The sequence below is a fragment of the Homo sapiens genome, chromosome 5, assembly GCF_000001405.40.
Source record: "Homo sapiens chromosome 5, GRCh38.p14 Primary Assembly".
NCBI lineage: Eukaryota > Metazoa > Chordata > Mammalia > Primates > Hominidae > Homo > Homo sapiens.
The window spans coordinates 7,032,035-7,052,888 of NC_000005.10; the positions used below are offsets into that span (position 1 = coordinate 7,032,035).

Below are 20,854 nucleotides of genomic sequence, written 5' to 3' on the forward strand. Positions count from 1 at the left end.
CACCTTTTTTGTATGTAGGTATGTAGAAATTTAGCCACTTCAGAGGCCTTGTTCCCCATAATTTGGAACCTTCCTTCGGATTTGATCAAGTTGGATAGAGTTGGTCAAACCCAATGGAAAAAGACTGAAGCAACAACAAAAACAAACAAACAACAACCAAAAAACAGTTAAGCAAAACAAACAAACGATCACACAACATAGGTGATTACTGAGCACTCTAATGGTAAGGAGAAATTAAGACCAGCTGGTTGTTAATCTTAACTTTAGCCAAGACAAACCCTAATTCAGTTACTTACCTAGGGTTGGGCCTCAGGCTGAAGATTGCTTGCTACATCCTAGAAGCAGGAAAAAACCCAAACTCTTCTTCCCTATTGGAAGCAAGCTCAAACTCCAGAAAGGAGTTACCTGCCTTCTATCATCACAGAAGCAGGAAAACTTGCCTTCTTTGTGTTGGAAGTGAGTAAACTCCAAGAAAACGGAGTTGTACAGCAAAGTGAACTTTAGATCTCAACCAGATTTTAGGAGATCAGGGAATCTTTGGAGGGGGTGCTTCCAGGCCACAACAAATTTTCCTGTTGGTTTGAGCCATAAAGATACCTCAAGCTGGTGCCAAGCTATAGGAGATTTGTCAAAGGTCAGGGGCAACTCCATTCAGAATCCCTCTGTGGTTATCAAAATGTGAACCCCAAATATCTGAGACTGGTCTCAGTTAACTTAGAAAGTTTATTTTGCCAAGGATGCACACCTGTAACACAGCCTCATGAGGTCCTGGCAACATGTGCCCAAGGTGGTTGGGGCACAGCTTAGTTTTATATGTTTTAGGGAGACATGAGACATCAATCAATATATGTAAGATGTACTTTGGTTCTGTCCAGAAAGGCAGTATAACTCCAGAAAGGGGGCTTCCAGATTACAGGTGAGAGACAAACAGTTGCATTCTTTTGAGTTTCTGATTAACTTTTCCAAAGGAGACAATCAGATATGCATTTATCTCAGTGAGCAGAGGGATGACTGAATAGAATGGGAGGTGGGTCTTTTTTAAGCAGTTTCCAGCTTGACTTTTTCCTTTAGCCTAGTGATTTTGGGGCCCCAAGATTTATTTTCCTTTCACAAATCCCACTGGTAAAATTAAGTGCATGGACAAACCCAGAATACTATATTGCTGTAATTGTGGTGTACAATCTACTCATAAGTCTAGCATTAAATCCAAAAGACAAACTTATCAAAAACAATAATAGCTGCAGCAATCTGGGAAGAGATAGATTATATAAAAACATGTAAATTGAGACAATTAAAAGTCAAAATATGGGGGGTGGAGTTAAAGCATAGAACTTTTTCCATTTTCCTTTGTTTCTATTCTTTGTAATTTAAGATAAGTTGTCTTCTCTTTAAAATAACTTGTTATATTTATAAGATTTTTTGTAAGCCTCTTGGTAACCACAACACAAAAACCTATAATAGATTCACTAAAAATAAAAAGCAAAAAATTAAACCTTGTGCCGGAGAAAACCACTTAACCACAAAAGAAGACAGAACGAAAGGAAGAGAGGAGTTACAAAAAAAATGAGAAAGCTAGTGACAAAATGACAGTATTAAGTCCTTATTTATCAATAATAATACTGAATACAAATAGATTCAATTATCTAATTATAAGGCATAGAGTGGCTGAATGGATGAAGAAACAAGACTCAACTATTTGCTGCCTAAAAGAAACCCACTTCATCTACAAAGACACACATAGACTGAAAGTGAATGGGTAAAAAAAGATATTCCCTGCAACTGGAAACCAAAAAAAGAGCAGCAGGCATAGTTATATTTATATCAGATCAAAGAGACTACCAACCTAAGACTGTAAAAGGAGACAAAGCAGGTCACTATATAATGATAAGGGATCAATTCAGCAAGAGGATATAACAATTATAAATATTTAGGCACCCAACACTGGAGCTCCCAATTATATAAAGAAAACATTACTATATCTAAAGGGAGAGATAGACTGCGATAAATAACTTATTCAATAATTTGCATTTTTGCTTAATGAAAGGCAACTGAGGCATTAAATTTTTCATCTTTGTTCAATAAAAGAATTTAAGACCTCATGTTTTTCTCTGAAAAATAAAATCCAAAAGAAATAATATACTACAAATGATCCATTTCACTGCATGCAGAAAGAAAGAGTTGGAGTAAAATACAGCATAGGCAGAATTAACCGCAAGTATCAGACCAGGAGAGTGTGTTTATGATGTGTAACAGATGGAATTAACCTGAACACCATGAAGATCCAACAAGGAGGAGGAGAACAAAGACCTCACAGGAAAATGGATCATGGTTATAAACAAGAAAGATAAAGATGACAGATGTTAAACATAAGAAACGTCCAATCAACATATCATGAGATGTCTAACTTTACTAATAATAAGAAAATAAGCATTTCTAAGTAAATAGGACAGCAGGAAGTCCTGAGTTTGGCCTCCAGGAAGAAGTGTTCAATGATGAAGACTGTAGCTGCCACACCACTGGCCACCTCCAGAGGCCATGGTGGAGTTTGCTCCTCTCCCATTCTGTTCTTAGAAATCAGACAGCTTAGTGTTGGAATTGTGTCTCCGGAGCACGTGAGAGTGTAGTTCCAAGAATTAGGCAGGAGTTAGCTTGAATTTCCACTCTGCTATTTACCAGCCTTGTGACTATGGGAGTCGGGGCCATTTCACTGGCTTAGCCTCTGTCTTCCCATCTTGCAGCAGTTTTTAGAATAATGATACCCTAGCTCAAAAAGCAACCCTTAGCAAATCATGTGTCTATGTGATGTGGAACATCATTGCAATACTCTATGTAGATAAAAATGTGGCTGATGAACTTGTCATCTGTTCTCAATAGCTTTGATTTCCTTTTTATTTTATTTTATTATCTATTTAAGTTCTGGGATACATGTGCTGAACATGCAGGTTTATTACATAGGTATACATGTGCCACGGTAGTTTGCTGCACCTATCAACCCATCATCTAGGTTTTAAGCCCTGTATGTATTAGGTATTTGTCCTAATGCTCTCCCTCCTATTGTCCCCCATCCCTGACAGGCCCCTGTGTGTGATGTTCCCCTCCCTGTGTCCATGTGTTCTCATTGTTCACCTCCCACACATGAGTGAGAACATGTGGTGTTTGGTTCTCTGTTCCTGTGTTAGTTTGCTGAGAATGATGGCTTCCAGCTTCATCCATGTCCCTGCAAAGAACATGAACTTATTATTTTTTTATGGCTGCATAGTATTCCATGGTATATATGTGCCACATTTTCTTTATCTAGTCTATAATTGATGGGTATTTGGGTTGGTTCCAAGTCCTTGCTATTGTAAACAGTGCTGCAGTAAACATACGTGTGCATGCGTCTTTATAGGAGAATGATTTTCTAAATTAAAATTGGTTTCTGAAAAACTTGAGAAGGCTGTAGATTCAGTTCCCTCGACTTGCATAGAAATTGGAATGTTGCAAATGGCCCTTAGAATCCATTTGTTCATGGAATAAGTATTGTTGCCTGCTTAGGGCAGTGGGCTGAGTACTGTGGGGAATTCATAGTTGAGTCTGGGCTGGATTTGGCCAGCTGTAGACAGAAAACTCAACACACAACACAAGGCATTCATTGCAAGTGCCAATTGAGAGCGGCTCAAAATCTGCACATCATCCAGACTCCTGATACCTGAAGATTCCTGTTTTCCAAACCACAAAAATATGTAGGAACAGCTAATTTTATTATTTATGCTACTACCATATATTATCACTAAATTGTTTTTTTGTCTCTTGAATTAAAATGCAAACTAAATTTCAAATGTATTTTTATACAATTTTTCAAGGTAAAATTAACAACTTTTGGGCTGAAAGGATTTACCTTTTTATTTTTAATAAAGGAGTAGGTTTATAGAGTTGAAAAAATTCAAGATTTTTTCTTCTTTATCAAGATGCTCTTATTGTCCTCACAGATGGAAGACAACTATAAATTTACAGTATGTGTGGGCTTACTGAGTCTAAAAATGTTGTGCCATTATTTATATCTTACTGTAAGAAAGACCTTGTCTGGGAAAGAGAAAAACAGCCTTAGGCTGTCAAACTTGGTTGATGTAATTATTATCTAAAGAAAAAAAAAAGACTAAGGTTTTCTTCTAACTAAAACATAAATATGAGTTTATTATTCCACACTTTCAGTATCTTGGAGTCCCTGAGCATGGTTTATGGTGTGTGGAAAAATTTGGCATTTAGTTATCTTATTGTCACCAAGCATGCCAGGTACTTATTCCTCTGAACTCAAGGTCTACGCATGGAGGTTATAAAAAGCACAACCAAGCTTGTCTTGTTATGCTTTCTGGGAGACAAATCCCCCTTGTCCTTGGTTGTGAAAATGATTTATACTCTGCACAGTTATTTTCAATGCATTAGTTTTTTTCTCTTGTTTCCAAGCAGAGGGCAGAAGAAAATGGAAAACAAAGACAAACAAACCAAAGAAGGCGGATGAAGTAGAAGCCATTCATTCTTTCCATGAACATTGGTGAGTGCCTACATGTGCCAGAGCTTATTTAAAGCACCCAACATGCAAAGATCAATCACTATGACACAGTCCTTATCCTCAAGAGGGTCAGAGTCTGAAGGAATCTATTATGATTTTGTCCAGTTACAAAGAATGGTTAATGTCAGCTGAGTCATTTTGCCTATGTGGCTGCTTAGTGCCTCTACTATGATGGATGCTCTCATGGGATATGAAGATGATCATACTTTGTGTCTACCCACTTGTATGTCCTTCCACATGCCTCTACCCAGACTTCCTTGTGCCCATCATCCAATCTTCTACGTTCTGTGTTTCTAATTAGTTGGTCAGGCCATTCATAACTGCCCATAGGTCTATACCCTCTGGTCACTTTTTACTCTACACACAGTGGATGGCTAGGTGTATTGCTCAAAGCCCTGCCCATTAGAAAGGTTTTCCTTTCCACTGTCTTTCAAGGCCACACTTGAGAGAGGCTGCAGCAAGCTGCCACCTACTCTTGGCTTACACCTTCATACTGAGCCCATCCGCTCATACTGAGCTGATCCGCCCATGATACCAGCTAGGGTTGTCATCCTCCTTCTGCTGCTTCTACGGCATCCTCAGCAAATCCACACGCATGGGATAAGCACCTGGTCTTCTGGGGAAAATGTTAGTGTGTTTTGGGTTGTATATGAGATAGTTTTATCACGTTAGTCTAAAGCATGATGCTGTTATTTTCTTTATTTGAAAATTAGTTATGGTTTAGAGAGATTTGTATGAGTGGTAATTTGGCAAGGGGTGGACTATGGTGGATTTGAAGGTGTTGCTGTGGCTTGACTAAAAAATATTTCCCAGAGTTCTCTTCCCAGTACATTCCCAGTTATTATGGGCCACAAGAGGCCTTGTTGTTTGAGATTTGGAGGTTGGGAGTGAAGCAGAAGTCATTTTGTTATTTATGTTGAGAAAGGGCAGTCCCTTGTGTAACACAGACATGTTCTGTAGCACACACATGTGCATGAATACATCCATGTGTATACACGTGCGCGCGCGCGCGCGCGCACACACACACACACACACACACACACACACACACACACACACACAGATGTTGCTGCTTATCTGCCAGCTCAGCTCATTGCTGTGGGAAAAGCAGCCAGGGCTGCTGCTGCTTTTTGTGTTCATTCTTGCTGAGCTCATCTGCTTTTTGACTGATACATTCGTTTCCTCTTGCTGCCGTTACAAATTACTACAAATAGCATAATTTGTTATTTTACAGTTCTGGAGATCAGAAATCCAACACAGGCCTCCTGGGCTCAAATCAAGGCTCCAGCCTGGCTGCATTCCTTTATGGAGGCTCTCAGGGTGAATCCATTTCCTTCTTTCTGGCTTCTCAAAGCTGCCTGCATCTCTTGGTGTGTGGTGCCTGCCTCCACTCTCAAAGCCATCAATGACATCATACCTATCCCTGGTCAGGACTGGGAAAGCTTCTCCGTTTATAAGGACCATGTGATTACACTGAGCCCATTATAAAGTGACTGGTTTACTCTCATTACTTCCTTTCCAAGCTCACCAGGACTATTTTATAGTTTAGACTGATCTAGTCCATCTTCATGAGAGATGAAATATCTCAATTTCTATGAAGGGTATTAATGAAAGTACACCTCCAAAATTCTGAGAGATGTTTTTTCTCATAGTGGGCTAGAGCTAGGAAAATTGGTGCTAAAGCTTATGAAGGTGAAATCCAGTACCATAGTGGTCCCATTTTTATGTCTACCTGAATGAGAATAGCTGTTTTGAGTGAAAAGTTATGACAAAAGAAAAGCTATTGGTTCAAATCTCTGAGTATTTCAGGGTTTTTGCAATACATTAAAAATAATTACCTAATGTAGCAAAATAAGAAAAAAAGCACTTGTGTTTAGTAAAACATCCATTCTCATAAGAAACACTGACATTAAAATGTAAGGAGAATAAAAAATTTAGTTAGGATATTTTTGAAATTTCTGGCTGTCTCCTTTTCCTGACAGGCTCTTCATGGCAGACAGTAAAACAATTTCGACTGGAAAGACTTGGATAAGATGACTTCCTTATCAACCCTTTCTACTTTCCATTATTTTAAAGTTAATTACCTTAAAATACCAATAATTCTTCCACAATTGCCCAGATGAAAGCCAACCCTACTGGTATGTTCAATCCTGCAGGTGGTAGTGTGAATCTGAAATGTTCTCTGGCAAGGAGGAAGCATCAGAAAGTTTTGCCACCACACTTACTGCTACATGATAATAGGAGGGTGTGAAATCAGGAAAGAAGAATAGATGCATTATGATATTTGGGTTTCTATGGTATTTAGAAAAGTCCCTCTTTTTCAATTTGGCTTGTACCTGATCTTATTGGATCCCCATGTTTTGGGGTATATCAGGTTGCTAATAAGTCTCTTCTTCCAGCAGAAATTTTGCACCCTTCCGTAATCTACTACCTGTCACACAGTACTTATCATGTGCCAAGAATGGCTATGAGTGTTTTATGTGGAATAAGTTATTTAAATAAACCTCAGGCACTAACACCATTTTACACATGAAGCACACGTCTAAACAATTTGTTGATCAAAACTGCTCCAAAGAATACACATCAGGTTCTCATCTTAATGGGTTTGATTTCCCTTCTTTGTAGAAAGCAGGCAGAGGAGTCTTCCATATTTGTTTTGCGGTCATTTCTTACACATTCGGTGAGTCAGCTGCCTCAGAAGAGGTGTCCCATGTTGCTGTAAGTGTTGTTTACATTATATGAAGAAAAATGGCCCAGAAATGTAAATGGTTTTGCTTAGGCAGGCCATTTCAGAAATTGTGTTAGTTATTTATTGGCTTGCCAATATTGATCTTTAAATAAGAGATTCTGCTCTTCAATGAAGGAGCCATTTCAAAAATTGAGTTAGTCGTTGTGGTAGTAATATTGGATTGATGAGGGTAACCATTACATTTCCAGGCAAAAAAAAAAAAAGATTATCGGGAAATAAAAACCAAGAGGAGAATATTGATCGTCTAGCGACTCCACTGAAACAGAGTCATAGGCGGGTTGTCAGGTCTGGTTTTCTGCCCAGTGCTTTCCTTCCTTCTAATTCTAACTGAGGAGGAAGAACAATTCTGACTGCCTGTAAATTCACTCAAGACCTACCGTGGCGGGGGTGGGGGGAGAAGAGGCTGCTTATGTGTTAAGGCAAAACTTGGGGAGTAAATCTATATCCTGTGCTTGTCCCAGGCCAAACTTCTTTAAAGATTATGAGAATAAACTGCTGGTTCTTAGAAAGGAATGGAAGAAGGTAATGGGGAAAGTCTTTGCTCCCAATTAGTGGGATGAGTGAGACATTGCAAATCAGAACTCAATTAAGAAGCCAGAGTTGAAACAAGGGAACCAAACTCTTGGATTTTTAAAACTGTCCCTCATTAAACATGGAGTCAACGTTGAGTCTAAAAAGTGTAGTATAAAGAAGTTTGAATGCATAATCATGCTTCCTGAGCCATTGTGAACCATTTTCTATTCCTAAAGTGGGCTGGGGCACACTTGTTGCCGGTGATGCAGGCATCTCTACACCAATTCTCCGGTGAAGTCAAGAAATAACACATATTTTATTCATTTTAATCAATGCATATCTGGCACAATAAAGAGGAGGATTGGGCCTTTTTTAATTAGAGGAAAAGCTGGAAGATTTTAATTGAGAATACAGGAGCCAAGGATATATCACCTCTGCTACTTAAGAGCTGTAATTGCTCATCTCTTAGACCACCTGCTGCTTGCAGAGTACCAGTCTACTTAATTTAACACAAAGTAATTTAGGATGCTGTTTCTATTGCTAATTAGACACAGAAACTACCTTCATAATTAAGCTCGCTTTACTTCCTAAGAATCCCTTTTTAATAAATCCAATTTGGGGGGCAATACACTTCCCTCTTCTTGCCTCCATCCTTCTCACATTATATTCTTTACCTTGATATCCTTTTTAAATTGGTGTATTCCTTCATATTCCCTAAATATAAGTAGGACATAGACTGATTAGGTTTCCTTGTGATGCTATAATTATATGAACCATCTATACACTTGTTTATTCCACAGAACTTTTCAGAATGCCCATTATGGGCCAGGAATGAGGATATATTGGGACAGAAAAGTCCTTAAGCGGGTATTAGTGGTGGAAAGAGAAAGAAACCACCCATCAGAGCTCAGGATTTGGATGCTGCAATGAAGGTCATGGCCAGTGCATTGAAGCTCCCCCAGTATGGGGAGGTGGGAAGGGGCTTCCTCAAGAGGCTGCTGTAGTGTAGCCTTGGGGGAAATTGGGATTCATTGGGCAGAGTAGCTGGGGAAGAGTCCTTTGGTCCAAGGAAGTAGGAATGTCCTGAGCTAAGACAGGAGGGCAGGAGAGGGCACACCTCATCCAGGAGACTGTAGATAGTTTTGTGTCACGGGGCAACCTGTCACTGTCAAGGATGGGAACAGTAATTGGGGACGGGTCAGGAGAGGTCCTCATCAGTAGCTTCATGGATGCACTCATTCTATGGAAACAATGAAATCTCATTGAAGGAATTTATATAGGTTTTGTTTTGATAAAATCACATTGGCATCAATGTGGAAGATGAACTAAATGAAAGGTGAGGTCGAGGCTACAGGAAGTTAGGGACCAGCAAAGACCCCCAAGCAAGGTCTTAGTTGCTCATATAGAGGAACGATGCAGAAGATAAGTCTGTCTTGACCCTGGTGAATCCTCAGGGCAGCAGAGAGACAATGGCTTAGAGAGGGAGAGTGAGCAGTTGGGAGAGAATTGACTGAGGGGTGATGAGAGAGAAGGGAGTGGTCCCAGGACTCTTAGGTATTGGCCTGAGTTGTGCCAAGATAATTCCTTATAAGAGGAGGGTTAGGAAAGGGGTGCATTCTGTTTGGTTAAAAAGATTTGGGATGAGTAGAAAGTTTCAAAGGCCCGGGCATTTAAGCAAAGTTCCAGGTGGCAAGCAAAAGCCCGGGGCGTGGCGAGCTTCAGGTGTGAGGCTATTCCATGATGGAGAAGAGGGGAAGCTGCTGAGACGGCTGCATGCTGAGCCGGGCCACGGGAGAGGCCACTTCTGAAGAGTTCCAAAGCAGTGTTTTCAGATCAAAGATTTTTAAACGGGGGTTAAAGAAAATAAAGCATTCAAAAATAAAGTGTCCCAAACAACAGAGGCATGCTACTACACTGAGTGCCACTGCGGACTAGCTTCTGAGAAAAACCTGAACAGAGAACGTGCCAGTACTGTGATGAGGTGGGACACCTCCATGGCCAAGTTCATGCAGGTAGAGCCCACTGAGGGCAGCAAACTGAGCTGTAGGCACGCTGGGATCGTAGGTATTTGCTCTCTTTGCTTTGCTTTGAACTACAGTTGACCCTTGAACAACACAGGTTTGAACTATGTGGATTCACTTATGTGGATTTTTTAACCAAATGCAGATTGAAAATACAGTGTTCCTGGGATGTGAAACCCATATATACAGAGAACTGAGCTTCTTATGTCGGATTCTGTGGGGCCGATGGCAGGACTTGAGTCTACAGTTTTTGGTATATGCAGGGGTCCTTTAATGAAGCCCCATTGGTTGCCGAGGGACAACTGTAATTATAATTTCAGAAAATGAGTATCTATGAAGTGTCTGTGCTGCTCTTTGCTGTATTTTATTGTAGCAATCCTATTTTGCTGTTATAACTCGTGCACTAAACAAGCAATTGTAACTGATGCCAATGCTGGGAGGCGGGTGGATTATGGAAGGCTGAGCTACTAAAACAAAGAGAAAAGCACTGGTTTTGGAGTCAGACCAAGCTTGGCTTAGATTTCTACTGTAGTATAAGGCTACTGTGTGATCTTGGTTTCATTTCTTAGCCTCTTTGAGACTCAGTTTCCCTGTGTACAAAATAGGGATAACAGTAGTATTATAGCAGGACAAGCTGCAGACAAAACTCCTCAGACACCGAGTTAAAGAAGGAAGGAGTTTATTTGGCCGGGGGCATCGGCGAGACTCCTGTCTCAAGAGCCGAGCTCCCCAGTGAGCAATTCCTGTCCCTTGTAAGGGCTCACAACTCTAAGGGGGTGCGTGTGAGAGGGTCGTGATCGAATGAGCCAGCAGGGGTTATGTGACTGGGGGCTGCATGCACCGGTAATTAGATCGGAACAAAACAGGATAGGGATTTTCACAGTGCTCTTCTATACAATGTCTGTCATCGATAGATAACATAACCGAGTAGGTCAGGGGTCGATCTTTAACTACCAGGCCCAGGGTATGGCGCCGGGCTGTCTGCTTGTGGATTTCATTTCTGCCTTTTAGTTTTTGCTTTTTCTTTCTTTGGAGGCAGAAATTGGGCATAAGACAGTATGAGGGGTGGTCTCCTCCCTTACTACTCCTTACTACTGTGTAGGATACTGTATGAAAAATAGCCTGTGGAGTGCCTGCGTTTTGTTAACGCTTTTCTGCAGCAAGGAGCGACCTGCGCTATTGCTCTTGCTCTGTTCCCTTCCTAGCCTTTCTGCAGTCAACAGCCAGAATCATTTCACTCCACCCGTGCGGCCCTCAATGGCTTCCACTTGCATGTGATAGTGAGATCCCACACTAGGGTTTACGAAAGATCTGCTGCATCACTATTTCCTTGTGTGTTTTACTTCCGAGGATAGGGAACTCTGCTGCTATAGGGTCCTAGCTCAGGGCTGGAGTTCTGGATGATGTTGCTGCTTCTCACCTGGTCCAGATATCCCACCGAGATCTTATTTAAAAAATTGTAAACATGTGTGTCTTTATAATATTGACAACATAATTCGCAGATTATTGAACTCACACTTAAGCAGGCAATTATAACTAACTCAAAATATTCAGAAAGGCAGCTGCAAAGATGACTTTGTTTCCTGTGGCTGCTGTCACAAAGCACCACAAACTTGGTGGCTTAAAATAACAGAGATTTCTTCTCTTACAGTTCTAGAGGCAAGAAGTCTGAAATTGGTATCAGTAGTTCAAAACCAAGGTGTTGGCCAGGCTGCGCTTGCTCTGGAATCTCTGGGGAAGGATCCCCTGCTGGCCTCCATCAGCTTCCGGTGGCTGCCAGCATTCCTTCGCTTATGGTCATGCCACTCCAGTCTCTCTTCTGTGGTCACATGGCTTCTTCCTCTTCTACATGGGTATAAATTTTCCCTCTGCCTCCCTCTTATAAGGATATATAGGATTGCATTGAAAGTCCCTTGGATAATTCAGTATAGTCTCCCCGTCTGAAGATACGTAACTTAATTACGTCTGCAGAATCCCTTATCACTCTATGAGGTGACATTCACAGGGTTCTGGGATAAGGATGTTTATATCTTTTGGGAGACTTGTTTGGCCTACCATATGACCTCTGATCGCATCTGTTATGAGCACTCATGACCCCTTCACATGCAGCTCTGAGTCATCTGCTCAGGCCTCCCTCTTCTCTCCCTTGCCTGGTTGTGTGTTTGTGTTTCTAACAATTTTCTCTGTATGTTTCCTTCATTCTGTGGGTCAGAGTTGTATTGTAACTATACTTACAGAGAACAGGTCACAGATGCAGTCACTGAATTCAGGCTTTACGTGAAGCTCCACCAGCAGTTTCTCTTGCTCTGCGTGTTCCTCTCTGTAATTCTATAGACCCTGCAATTGCTCTTTCCCTTGTGCACTTCTAAAAGCCTCCTTCCTGGGTCCATGCTTGTTTCTGGGGGCCCCTATAGGCACCAACAAGTCCTTACAGACTTTGGCAAGAGGCAACTGATTTAGTGATGGACTCGCTATAGTATCTAGATAGATGTGACTATCTGAAGAACAAATTTGGAAGGCCATTCGGTTCTCACCATTCATCCTTAGCAGATCGGGGATATGAAAGGATGTGGATCCATAAATTGTGAAAATCAAGAAAAAATTCAATAGGCACTTCCGTCTCTTTGTTCCTGAGCTAAAATCATACATTCTTTCATAGCCAAGTTTGTCTCCACAAACCTTATGCTTTAAAAGAATTGGTCTCCTAGCATAGTAAACTCTATTCATAGTAAACTTGTTCATATTTATACACTTGTGAGAATATTGATGTAATATTTCTGTTTCCACTTTCTTTCACCACATGACAAGGATTGCTGAGTGGCTACAAATCTCCATTCTATTGTGAGCATTTTACAGTAATTTGCAAATGAGCATGTGAGTTTTACTCATGCCAACACTATCAGTTTGCAAATGTTTTTTAATATTTAAGGGAAAGCCTCCTTGCTGAGGTCCAATATCTCCTAATCCTAAATCCAGGAACAGTCATGAACCCTGCTCTGTGTTTCCTTCCTTCCTTCCTTCCTTCTTTCCTTCCTTCGTTCTTTCTTTCTTTTTTTTTTTGGACAGAGACTCGCTCTGTCACCCAGGCTGGAGTCCAGTGGCATGATCTTGGCTCACTGCAACGTTCACCTCCTGGGTTGAAGCAAATCTCCTGCCTCAGCCTCCTGAATAGCTGAGATTACAGGCAAATGCCATCACGCCTGGCTGATTTTTGTGTTTTTAGTAGAGACGGGGTTTCACCATGTTGGCCAGGCTAGTCTCAAACTCCTGACCTCAAGTGATCCACCCCGCTCGGCCTCCCCAAAGTGCTGGGATTACAGGCGTGAGCCATCACATCCAGCCAACATGCACCTTTTCTATTGCTTGTCTTGCTTGATTCTTGCTACTCTTGGGAAAAGGCAACTGCCTCCAAATGAAAAATATGAGAAAGGATATCAAGTTAATAAAAGCAAGTAGATAGATTCTTGGATCAGTGCTATGGTGCCATATGTGTACAGCTTCATCTCTTCAAAAAGAAGCTGTTTCTGATTTAACCTACTACATAGGGTTCTAGGTAGGGCTAATAAATTGCTCCAGAAATTAGGTATGGTTTCCGTGATTTGCTCAAATCTCTCAAAAATTAGGACATTACCACGGATTTTTAGATTTCATGAGGTCCACAGTTTGGTCCATAAATTCTATATACTTTTCCAGTCTTCAGTAGTTATATACATTTTTGGATTATTTTGACAATAAAATAAGTGAGTAACACTTTGAAGAATAACATTTGTTTTTGTTCAGTACAGATTTCTTAGATATTGACAAGAAGAAAAAAACTATCAGAGAAAAATCCAGATTCTTACCAGTAGTTCCCTCCCTTCAGAGAGAGGCAGAGCATGATAGAGAAGGACAGTCAGTCAGTGTTTGAAGGACAGTATCCGTGCAATTAAATCAACCTCCCATCTAGACTTTGACTTTTCTGAAATATGGAGATGGAGCAAAAATCAGATAGGGTTTTTGTACAGCATGCTTAAGTATTGGGACACTTATGACTATTTTGTTGAGTTTTCTCATTATATTTTAATAACCTTTAAATTATAAAAATCATATTCACTGTAGACAAAGTGAAAACTTTAGATGAATATTTTAAAAACCCTCAAATCACTCATAATTTTTCCACTTAATGCCAACCACAGTACATATATAGATTGTTAAACCTTCAGCTTTGACTGTGTTTAGAGTTTTATCTTCCCCTTGGTATATACCACATTTTCAATAAACTGGAAAGTGTGACACAATCACCTGATCTATGCGTGTAATGATATGTTTGACCTGGCAAATGGTCAAACCTTTCTCCTGTGGCCATCAACGTTGTGGCTGATTTTCATAGCTATTTTGCCCTGTTATTTTTCTGAGATTTATTTCACTAGCACTTAGGGAGGCCTTTGATTTTCAAGGACGTGCACTGACAGGTTGTTATTTATCCCCAAGAGACTTTCATGTCCTAAGGGGAAAAAAACGTCCTGAGAATTTCAAACTTACAATAAGTAAAGAAAAAGAAAAAACTTTGCAGCTATCATACCTTCTTAAGAATAAAATTTTGGATCAAAGGGTATTATCAATAACACTCAAAAGCATTCTGGGCACACATTTTTAAATAAAATTTTATAATTATTTCCTTAGATACTATTAATATGAATTTTTTTAAAAAACTCTGAAACTTTCAGTTTAATCGTAGACTCCAACAGAGCTGTGAGTTAATTTTACTTCCAGCCACATGGGAAAGGAAGAACATGCCTTTAAGTGTCTTTTGTAGCTTCGCAGAGATAACTCAAAAAGTATTTGACCCTTCTGGAAAACAGAGGTGTCAATTTACAGTTTATAATCAGGACACTTATGTGAGAGTTTCAGGCTTTGGAATTATTGGTCGTGCTTCACAGGATGCAACAAAAATGTTTGAGGTCTTCGTGTCCCTGATTCACGAGACACTCAAGGACGAGTGTCACATGTGCAACAGAACAACATTCTACATTTTATCATAAGCCTTCACATTGGGCAAGAGAATGAGGACTCAACTTTTCATATGTGTTTTCAATTTTTCTTAGTTTATAGAACCAGAATATGTCAGAGAACAATATTAGCTTTTTTCGAGCTGTAGGAAAAAGGGAAATTTTTTGCCTCCTTATTTTTCTGAGATTTTTTTCACTAGCACTTAGGGAGGCCTTCAGTTTTTAAGGAGATGCACTGATATGTCATTATTTATCCCTAAGAGAGTTTCGTGTCCTGAGGGGGAATAAAAGTCCTAAGACATTCAACCTTACAGTATGTAAAGAAAAAAAATAATTTGCAGCTTTCATACCTTCTTAAAAATAAAATTTTTGGTCTACTGCCATACCACTTTGAACGTGCTTGATCTTGGAAGCTAAGCAGGGTCAGACCTGGTTAGGACTTGGTATGGGAGACCACATGGGAATACCAGGTGTTGCAGGGTTGATATAAAATCTAAAATTTTAAAATAAAAAAATAAAAATAATATTTCTGATCAAAGGGTATGGAATCTGTTTAAAGCCTTTGCTTAAAAGGCCAAATTATCTTCTAGAATAATTACATCAACTTACATTTCCTTCAGCAGTGTGTGTGTTTCCATTTCATTGCATCTTGGTTTTTATAAAAATCTTTTAAACATCTGGATTTGTTTTTAGCACATTAGTGCTGCATATTTCTGCAAATGCATCAGTTCTGTCTGGGCTGATATAGAGAAGCAGAGAAACACATTTTAGTTAAAATCCTAAGTTCTTTTTGACTTTGAAAGACATTGGATAGTGGCTTCCAGATTCTATTTGGCTTGGGTCACTGTGAGAGTTGGTTTCTATTGAGCAAAAACAAGATGTGAAAGTTGGTAGAATTATTGTGGAAAAAAAAATCTAATATGACAACTTCGTATTATAAATTGGGCAGGAAAAAAAGCCCCAAGGACATTACTCTTGCAGTTGATGCGCTTGGTAACAGGAGTCTGCGGAACTCTCCAGAGCTGCCCTCCCTGAGCCCCCTCGGCCATCGTCACCAGGCATATATTGGCCAGAATGTGCCACATCACTCATGTCTGGCACAATTGTGAAAGTCAGTTTATTTGATTTGCACTCCCCTAGTGATGAGGGCAAGTTCTACACCTCTGCCATCACTGGACAAGGTACCTGGGACAGCCATCAAGTTGTCCAGCTGTTCCTGACAGCTCCTGCCATCCTGCCAAGACTAATATTTGACAATCTAAACGGGGTGTGGAAAAGTAAACTAGGCTTCCAGCAGGGCATTGTAAATCTCCAACTCTCTGGCCCCTGAGAGGGACTTTACTGCTCATAGACGTCAACAGGAGAAATACATGTTTTGAAGGAGAGCCAAGCAATTCATTTAAATAAATTTAAATGAAAAATAACAACATAATTCAGGAGAATTGAATGCCACTTTCTCCCTATTGTATGGCACCTTTGCCCTAGCTATTCTGTCTTCAAGGGAAAATTACACAATCTGCACCAAAACTTAATCTTCGTAAAAAGAGGGAGCATTTTTGCAGGAAATGTGCTAATTGGAAAAGTTACATAAATGTCTGCTTGTGTTAGATTATTATTCCCAAGTCTATCAGAAAAAAAAGGTATTACAGTAATAGGGGAAAAAAAATCCCCTTTTTCAAAAAGAATATTTGTGTGTTAGCAGACACTGCACTATCGTGGTTATTTATGTGAAGTAATTTTAAGGAGTGAACACTTGAAGTATTGGTTGGACTCAATTTTAGTGCATTGAGACACATACCCACCAAACAATAAAACTGGTACTTAACAGTTATAATAATGATGTCAACAATGAATCTGGCTCCTGTTGATATGTGCAAAGCCAAAGATAATGAAGAAAACAAATGAAAGTTTACATTATTATTGCTGTTAGTTTCATCAGCTTTGGAATTTCAGTTGCTGAGAAACTCCTTTAGAAATAGCATAGGTTAGAACTTTGCTGCCATGTTTTCTCTGTTCTGGACAATGAGGAAGGCCTGTTTCAACTTACAGATGCACACGGAGTCTGCAGTTGTATGCACCCTTCAGCTCCTTGAGGCCAGTGGGTGCAACCTTACAGCCAGAATACTCCCCAAGGTGTTCCTCCAATGAATAAAATTCCTTTCCTTAAATATGTCAGAAGGGACACAGAAATGTGAATGCCCTAGTATGTTCACTTCCTCCAGACCACAATATTGTATGCCTCAAGAGGAAATTAATGTGCACATTTCTAAAGACTTCCAACTTTTTTCATTTGGACATTCCACTGCTTTTGTTTGCCAGAAAAAAAAAATGTCACTGAGCTTCTGTGATTATTTAATAAGAACCAATTTATTTTTAACTTGATTTTTTTCTGCCTGGAAAACAGGTTTATATACCTTTCATGTTTCCATCTCTCCTTCCTAAGTACACATATTCATGCAGGTGTCCAAAGCCAATCTGCCAATCTTTCAACTACATATGTTCTGTGAAACTGACAGGTCAAGTAATTATCTTTAGAAAAATTATTTTTAAGGCTAATAGTGGTGTTATCAAAACTTTCCCTGGAATGTATTTTGGTTATTTCTTTAGACATTGCACTGTACATTTAATGAAGAATACTTTAAGAAATAACCTCATTTGCATTTTAATTCTCAAAGTGTCCATATCCAATTAGAATATTCCATAATCCCACTAGAACTTGCAAAATCAGAATAAAAATTTTTGAAATAAAAACCAATGTAACTTGTACTATCTTCGTGGTGTGCAAACTAGCTTACTGACATTGACAATTTTTGAGTCTCAACAGAATCCTAAAATGAGGCCAGGTTTACAAAGTTCAATTCTATTTTTAAGCCAAAGAGGAAAATAAGATTTTAAAGGGAAGAACAAATCTCCCTTAAGCATTGATAGTAACTTTTAATGTCTTGCTAATCAAAATTTATGGCTGAGTCCCAACTGCCTTAAGGTAGAAAAAAAATTCAAACAATGAAGGAGAGAAGATTCAAAGCTGGCCCTTGTTTCTGAGTTTGAAAATTGCAGAAGTCAGTCTCCCTGGATATTAATGTTGCAGGTTTTGCTGACTGAGGATACAGATGATCCCCTTGGAGAAGGAAGCTTAAGGGTTTCTGGAGTCTTCCTCAAAGGTTTTACTAACATTCTCCAAGTAGCAACTTTCACAGAGCAGATTTATAGCAGAGTGTGAGAAGACTACTTTAGAACATGAATGAGTCTTGAGTTTCATCACAAAATGTTTTGGAATTGATTAGAGAGAGTTTCCATGCCTTATTCAAAACTCAAGAGGTAAAAAAAATTAGTAAATACATTAGTATTGTATTAGGTAGCATTTAAAACAACACAAAACAAGGATGAGCTGATCTCATTGAGACAGTTCTTCACTACTGTGAATGTCAGAAAGAAACGGCAGGTCATTTATGATGGCCAGGAAGCAGTCTTAGAACTTCTAAAATGCCCTCCATATGTGGGAAAGTTGATCCCGTCATTTATAAGATACATTACATGATTTCTTTCTAGCTAACATCTTTGACGAAACTTTGCTGAGACATCTGTGTTACATGATGGATATAGACATGTGGTCTATACACAATGCAATACCATTCAGCCATAATAAAAGGGAAATTCTGTCATTTGTGACAACATGGATGAACCTGCAGGACTTTATGCTAAGTGGAATAACTCAGGCACAGAAAGACAAATAATGCATGATTCCACTCATATGTGGAATCTAAAAAAGTTTAACTCACATAAGTAGAGGGCAGAATGGTGGTTGCCAGAGGCTAAGGGAAGGAGTGGACGAAAAAAGGGGATATGTTGATCAAAGGGTACAAAATTTCAGTTAGACCGGAGGAATAAGCTTTAGTATTCTATTGCACAGAATGGTGACTAGAATAAATAATAATGGATTGTATATTTCAAAGTTGCTGAAAGAATGAATTTTAAATGTTTCATCACAAAAAATGATAAGATGTGAGGTGATATATTTGCTAACTAGCTTGACTTAATCATTCTACAATGTAAACACATATCAAAACCTCACTTTGTACCCCATAAATATGTAATATATACACTAATTACTTGTGAATTAATAAAAAATTAAATGGCAAGTCATTTGTGGTGGCTAGAGGAGAAGTGTAGCATCCTTCTTATTAAGATACAAGAGTTATCCTGGAGCCCAGTGACGATGGATGGCTCCAAAAGGGCCTGAGTGACAGGTTACTTTTTCTCCATGAAAGCTTTTATGTTTAAATCACACTTGTGAGTAGACTAAGTAGCATACACTTCCCCCACATTCTAGGTCTTTAGTGTAGCTGAATGAAGAGTGGAGAGTGTGAGTGACAGCTGAGGAAGACAGAGTTGTGCCCTGAGATAGCATTGTGATAGTGATTACTTGTCAGCTAGGCTAGGTTGCAGTGCCCAGTTGTTTGGTTAAACACTATATCAGTGTATTTTAATTTACTAATCTTGTAATTTTTTATGATTATGAATAATATATACCCGTTGTCGAAAACTGGGAAAACACAGAAAAATATATCAAAAATTACTCAGTGAAACCCAGTTTAGTCAGGATCAAGTTTTAGTTTATCCTATGCATTTTTAAATTTTGGAGATCACAATAAATGTACTGATTGTTAAAAGAGTTAACAAAGTACACAGAGTATTGATGAGCGGAACCATGAAGGTTAGATTAGTGCTAGATGGTAACTCCTTTCAATCTCTGCAAAAACTTATTTATTCAACTTGGTAAAATGTTTTTGATTATGCCTGTGCTTTTTATCTTCGTTGTAATTTTTTCGGTTTCTTCTGTGGAAATGACTTACAATTCTTAGTTAGAATAAGCCTTCTGTGTCTCCCATCTCTGCTGCTTGCTCCAGCATTTTATAAATTTTCTTCTTCTCTTTCTTTTCTTTTTTGTTTTTTTAGATGGAGTTTCACTCTTATTGCCCAGGCTGGAGTGGAATAGCACAGTCTCGGCTCACTGCAACCTCTAACTGTCGGGTTTGAGTGATTCTCTCATCTCAGCCTCCTGAGTAGCTGGGATTACAGGCACCCGCCACCACGCCCAGCTAATTCTTATAATTTTTAGTAGAGATAGGATTTCACCATGTTGTCCAGGCTGGTCTTTAATTCCTGGCCTGAGGTGATCCACCCACCTCGGCCTCCTAAAGTGCTGGGATTACAGGCATGAGCATTCTTCTTCTCTTTCTATGCACATAGAACATATCAATTGGCCCCACTGTCACTGATTTAATACTCTGTGCTGAATTTTTCTTCTCATTGCTTCTGAATCAACTATTGAGTATTCTACTGTTCCTCTGAATCAACTACTGAGTATTCAATTTATCTGCAGTCTTTTCTTCTGTCACTCCTTGGTTGCCTTGTCATCTCAGCCTATTTTCCCCTAATGGCTTTCTCCTCCTTTTCAGAGGACATATCAACTTGGATTTTAGCAACTATACCCAACACATTTCTAAATTATCTTCTGTTTATCATGCTAATTTTTTTTCAGAGACATGCTTTTCTTTGACTTTTCATGATGCCTTCATTTTTTTCTTTTTTTTTTTTGTAGTATCTATCTCTTTTTCACATTTTGTGCAGTTTTTTAGGTTTCAGTTTTTCTTGATTCTGCCTGACTTTCTTACATTCCAAAATTGAAACAGCTGAAACCCATTATAATCTCCAGCATTTAGTGCCACCATGGTTCTTTCTGCTCTTGTTCCTACCTACACTGTAGAATGAAATCCCTAAGATGCTATGTGCTTCTTCCTGTCTGTCTTGCTCCACTTTCTCCCTGACTATTTCTAGAGTGCTGCTGCCTCCAGATGTGTGTAGGCAATGGTAGAGATCAGAAGTAAGGCTGCTTCTAGAAGTAGCAGCCAAGATGAAAAGAGACAACTGAACATTTTTCTGAGTGGTAAAGAGCTTGCATTTCTAAACTCCAAAGCACAGATGGCCCAAAGTGCTCTTTATTATCAAATTAAAAATGATAAATACACATTTA

The 20,854-nt window shown here is 39.3% G+C and overlaps 1 long non-coding RNA gene and 1 pseudogene across 1 annotated transcript in view; both read left to right on the forward strand.

Annotated features, from left to right (window-relative positions):
• Nucleotides 1-4,446: 4,446 nt before the first annotated feature.
• The window catches only part of LINC02196 (long intergenic non-protein coding RNA 2196), a 114,548-nt gene continuing 98,140 nt past the window's right edge, over nucleotides 4,447-20,854 (forward strand). The window contains exon 1 of the long non-coding RNA XR_001742592.2: nucleotides 4,447-4,531. This is a non-coding gene — a long non-coding RNA (long intergenic non-protein coding RNA 2196). The remainder of the gene's footprint in view (nucleotides 4,532-20,854) is intronic.
• RNA5SP176 (RNA, 5S ribosomal pseudogene 176) lies at nucleotides 15,193-15,302 on the forward strand (annotated as a pseudogene).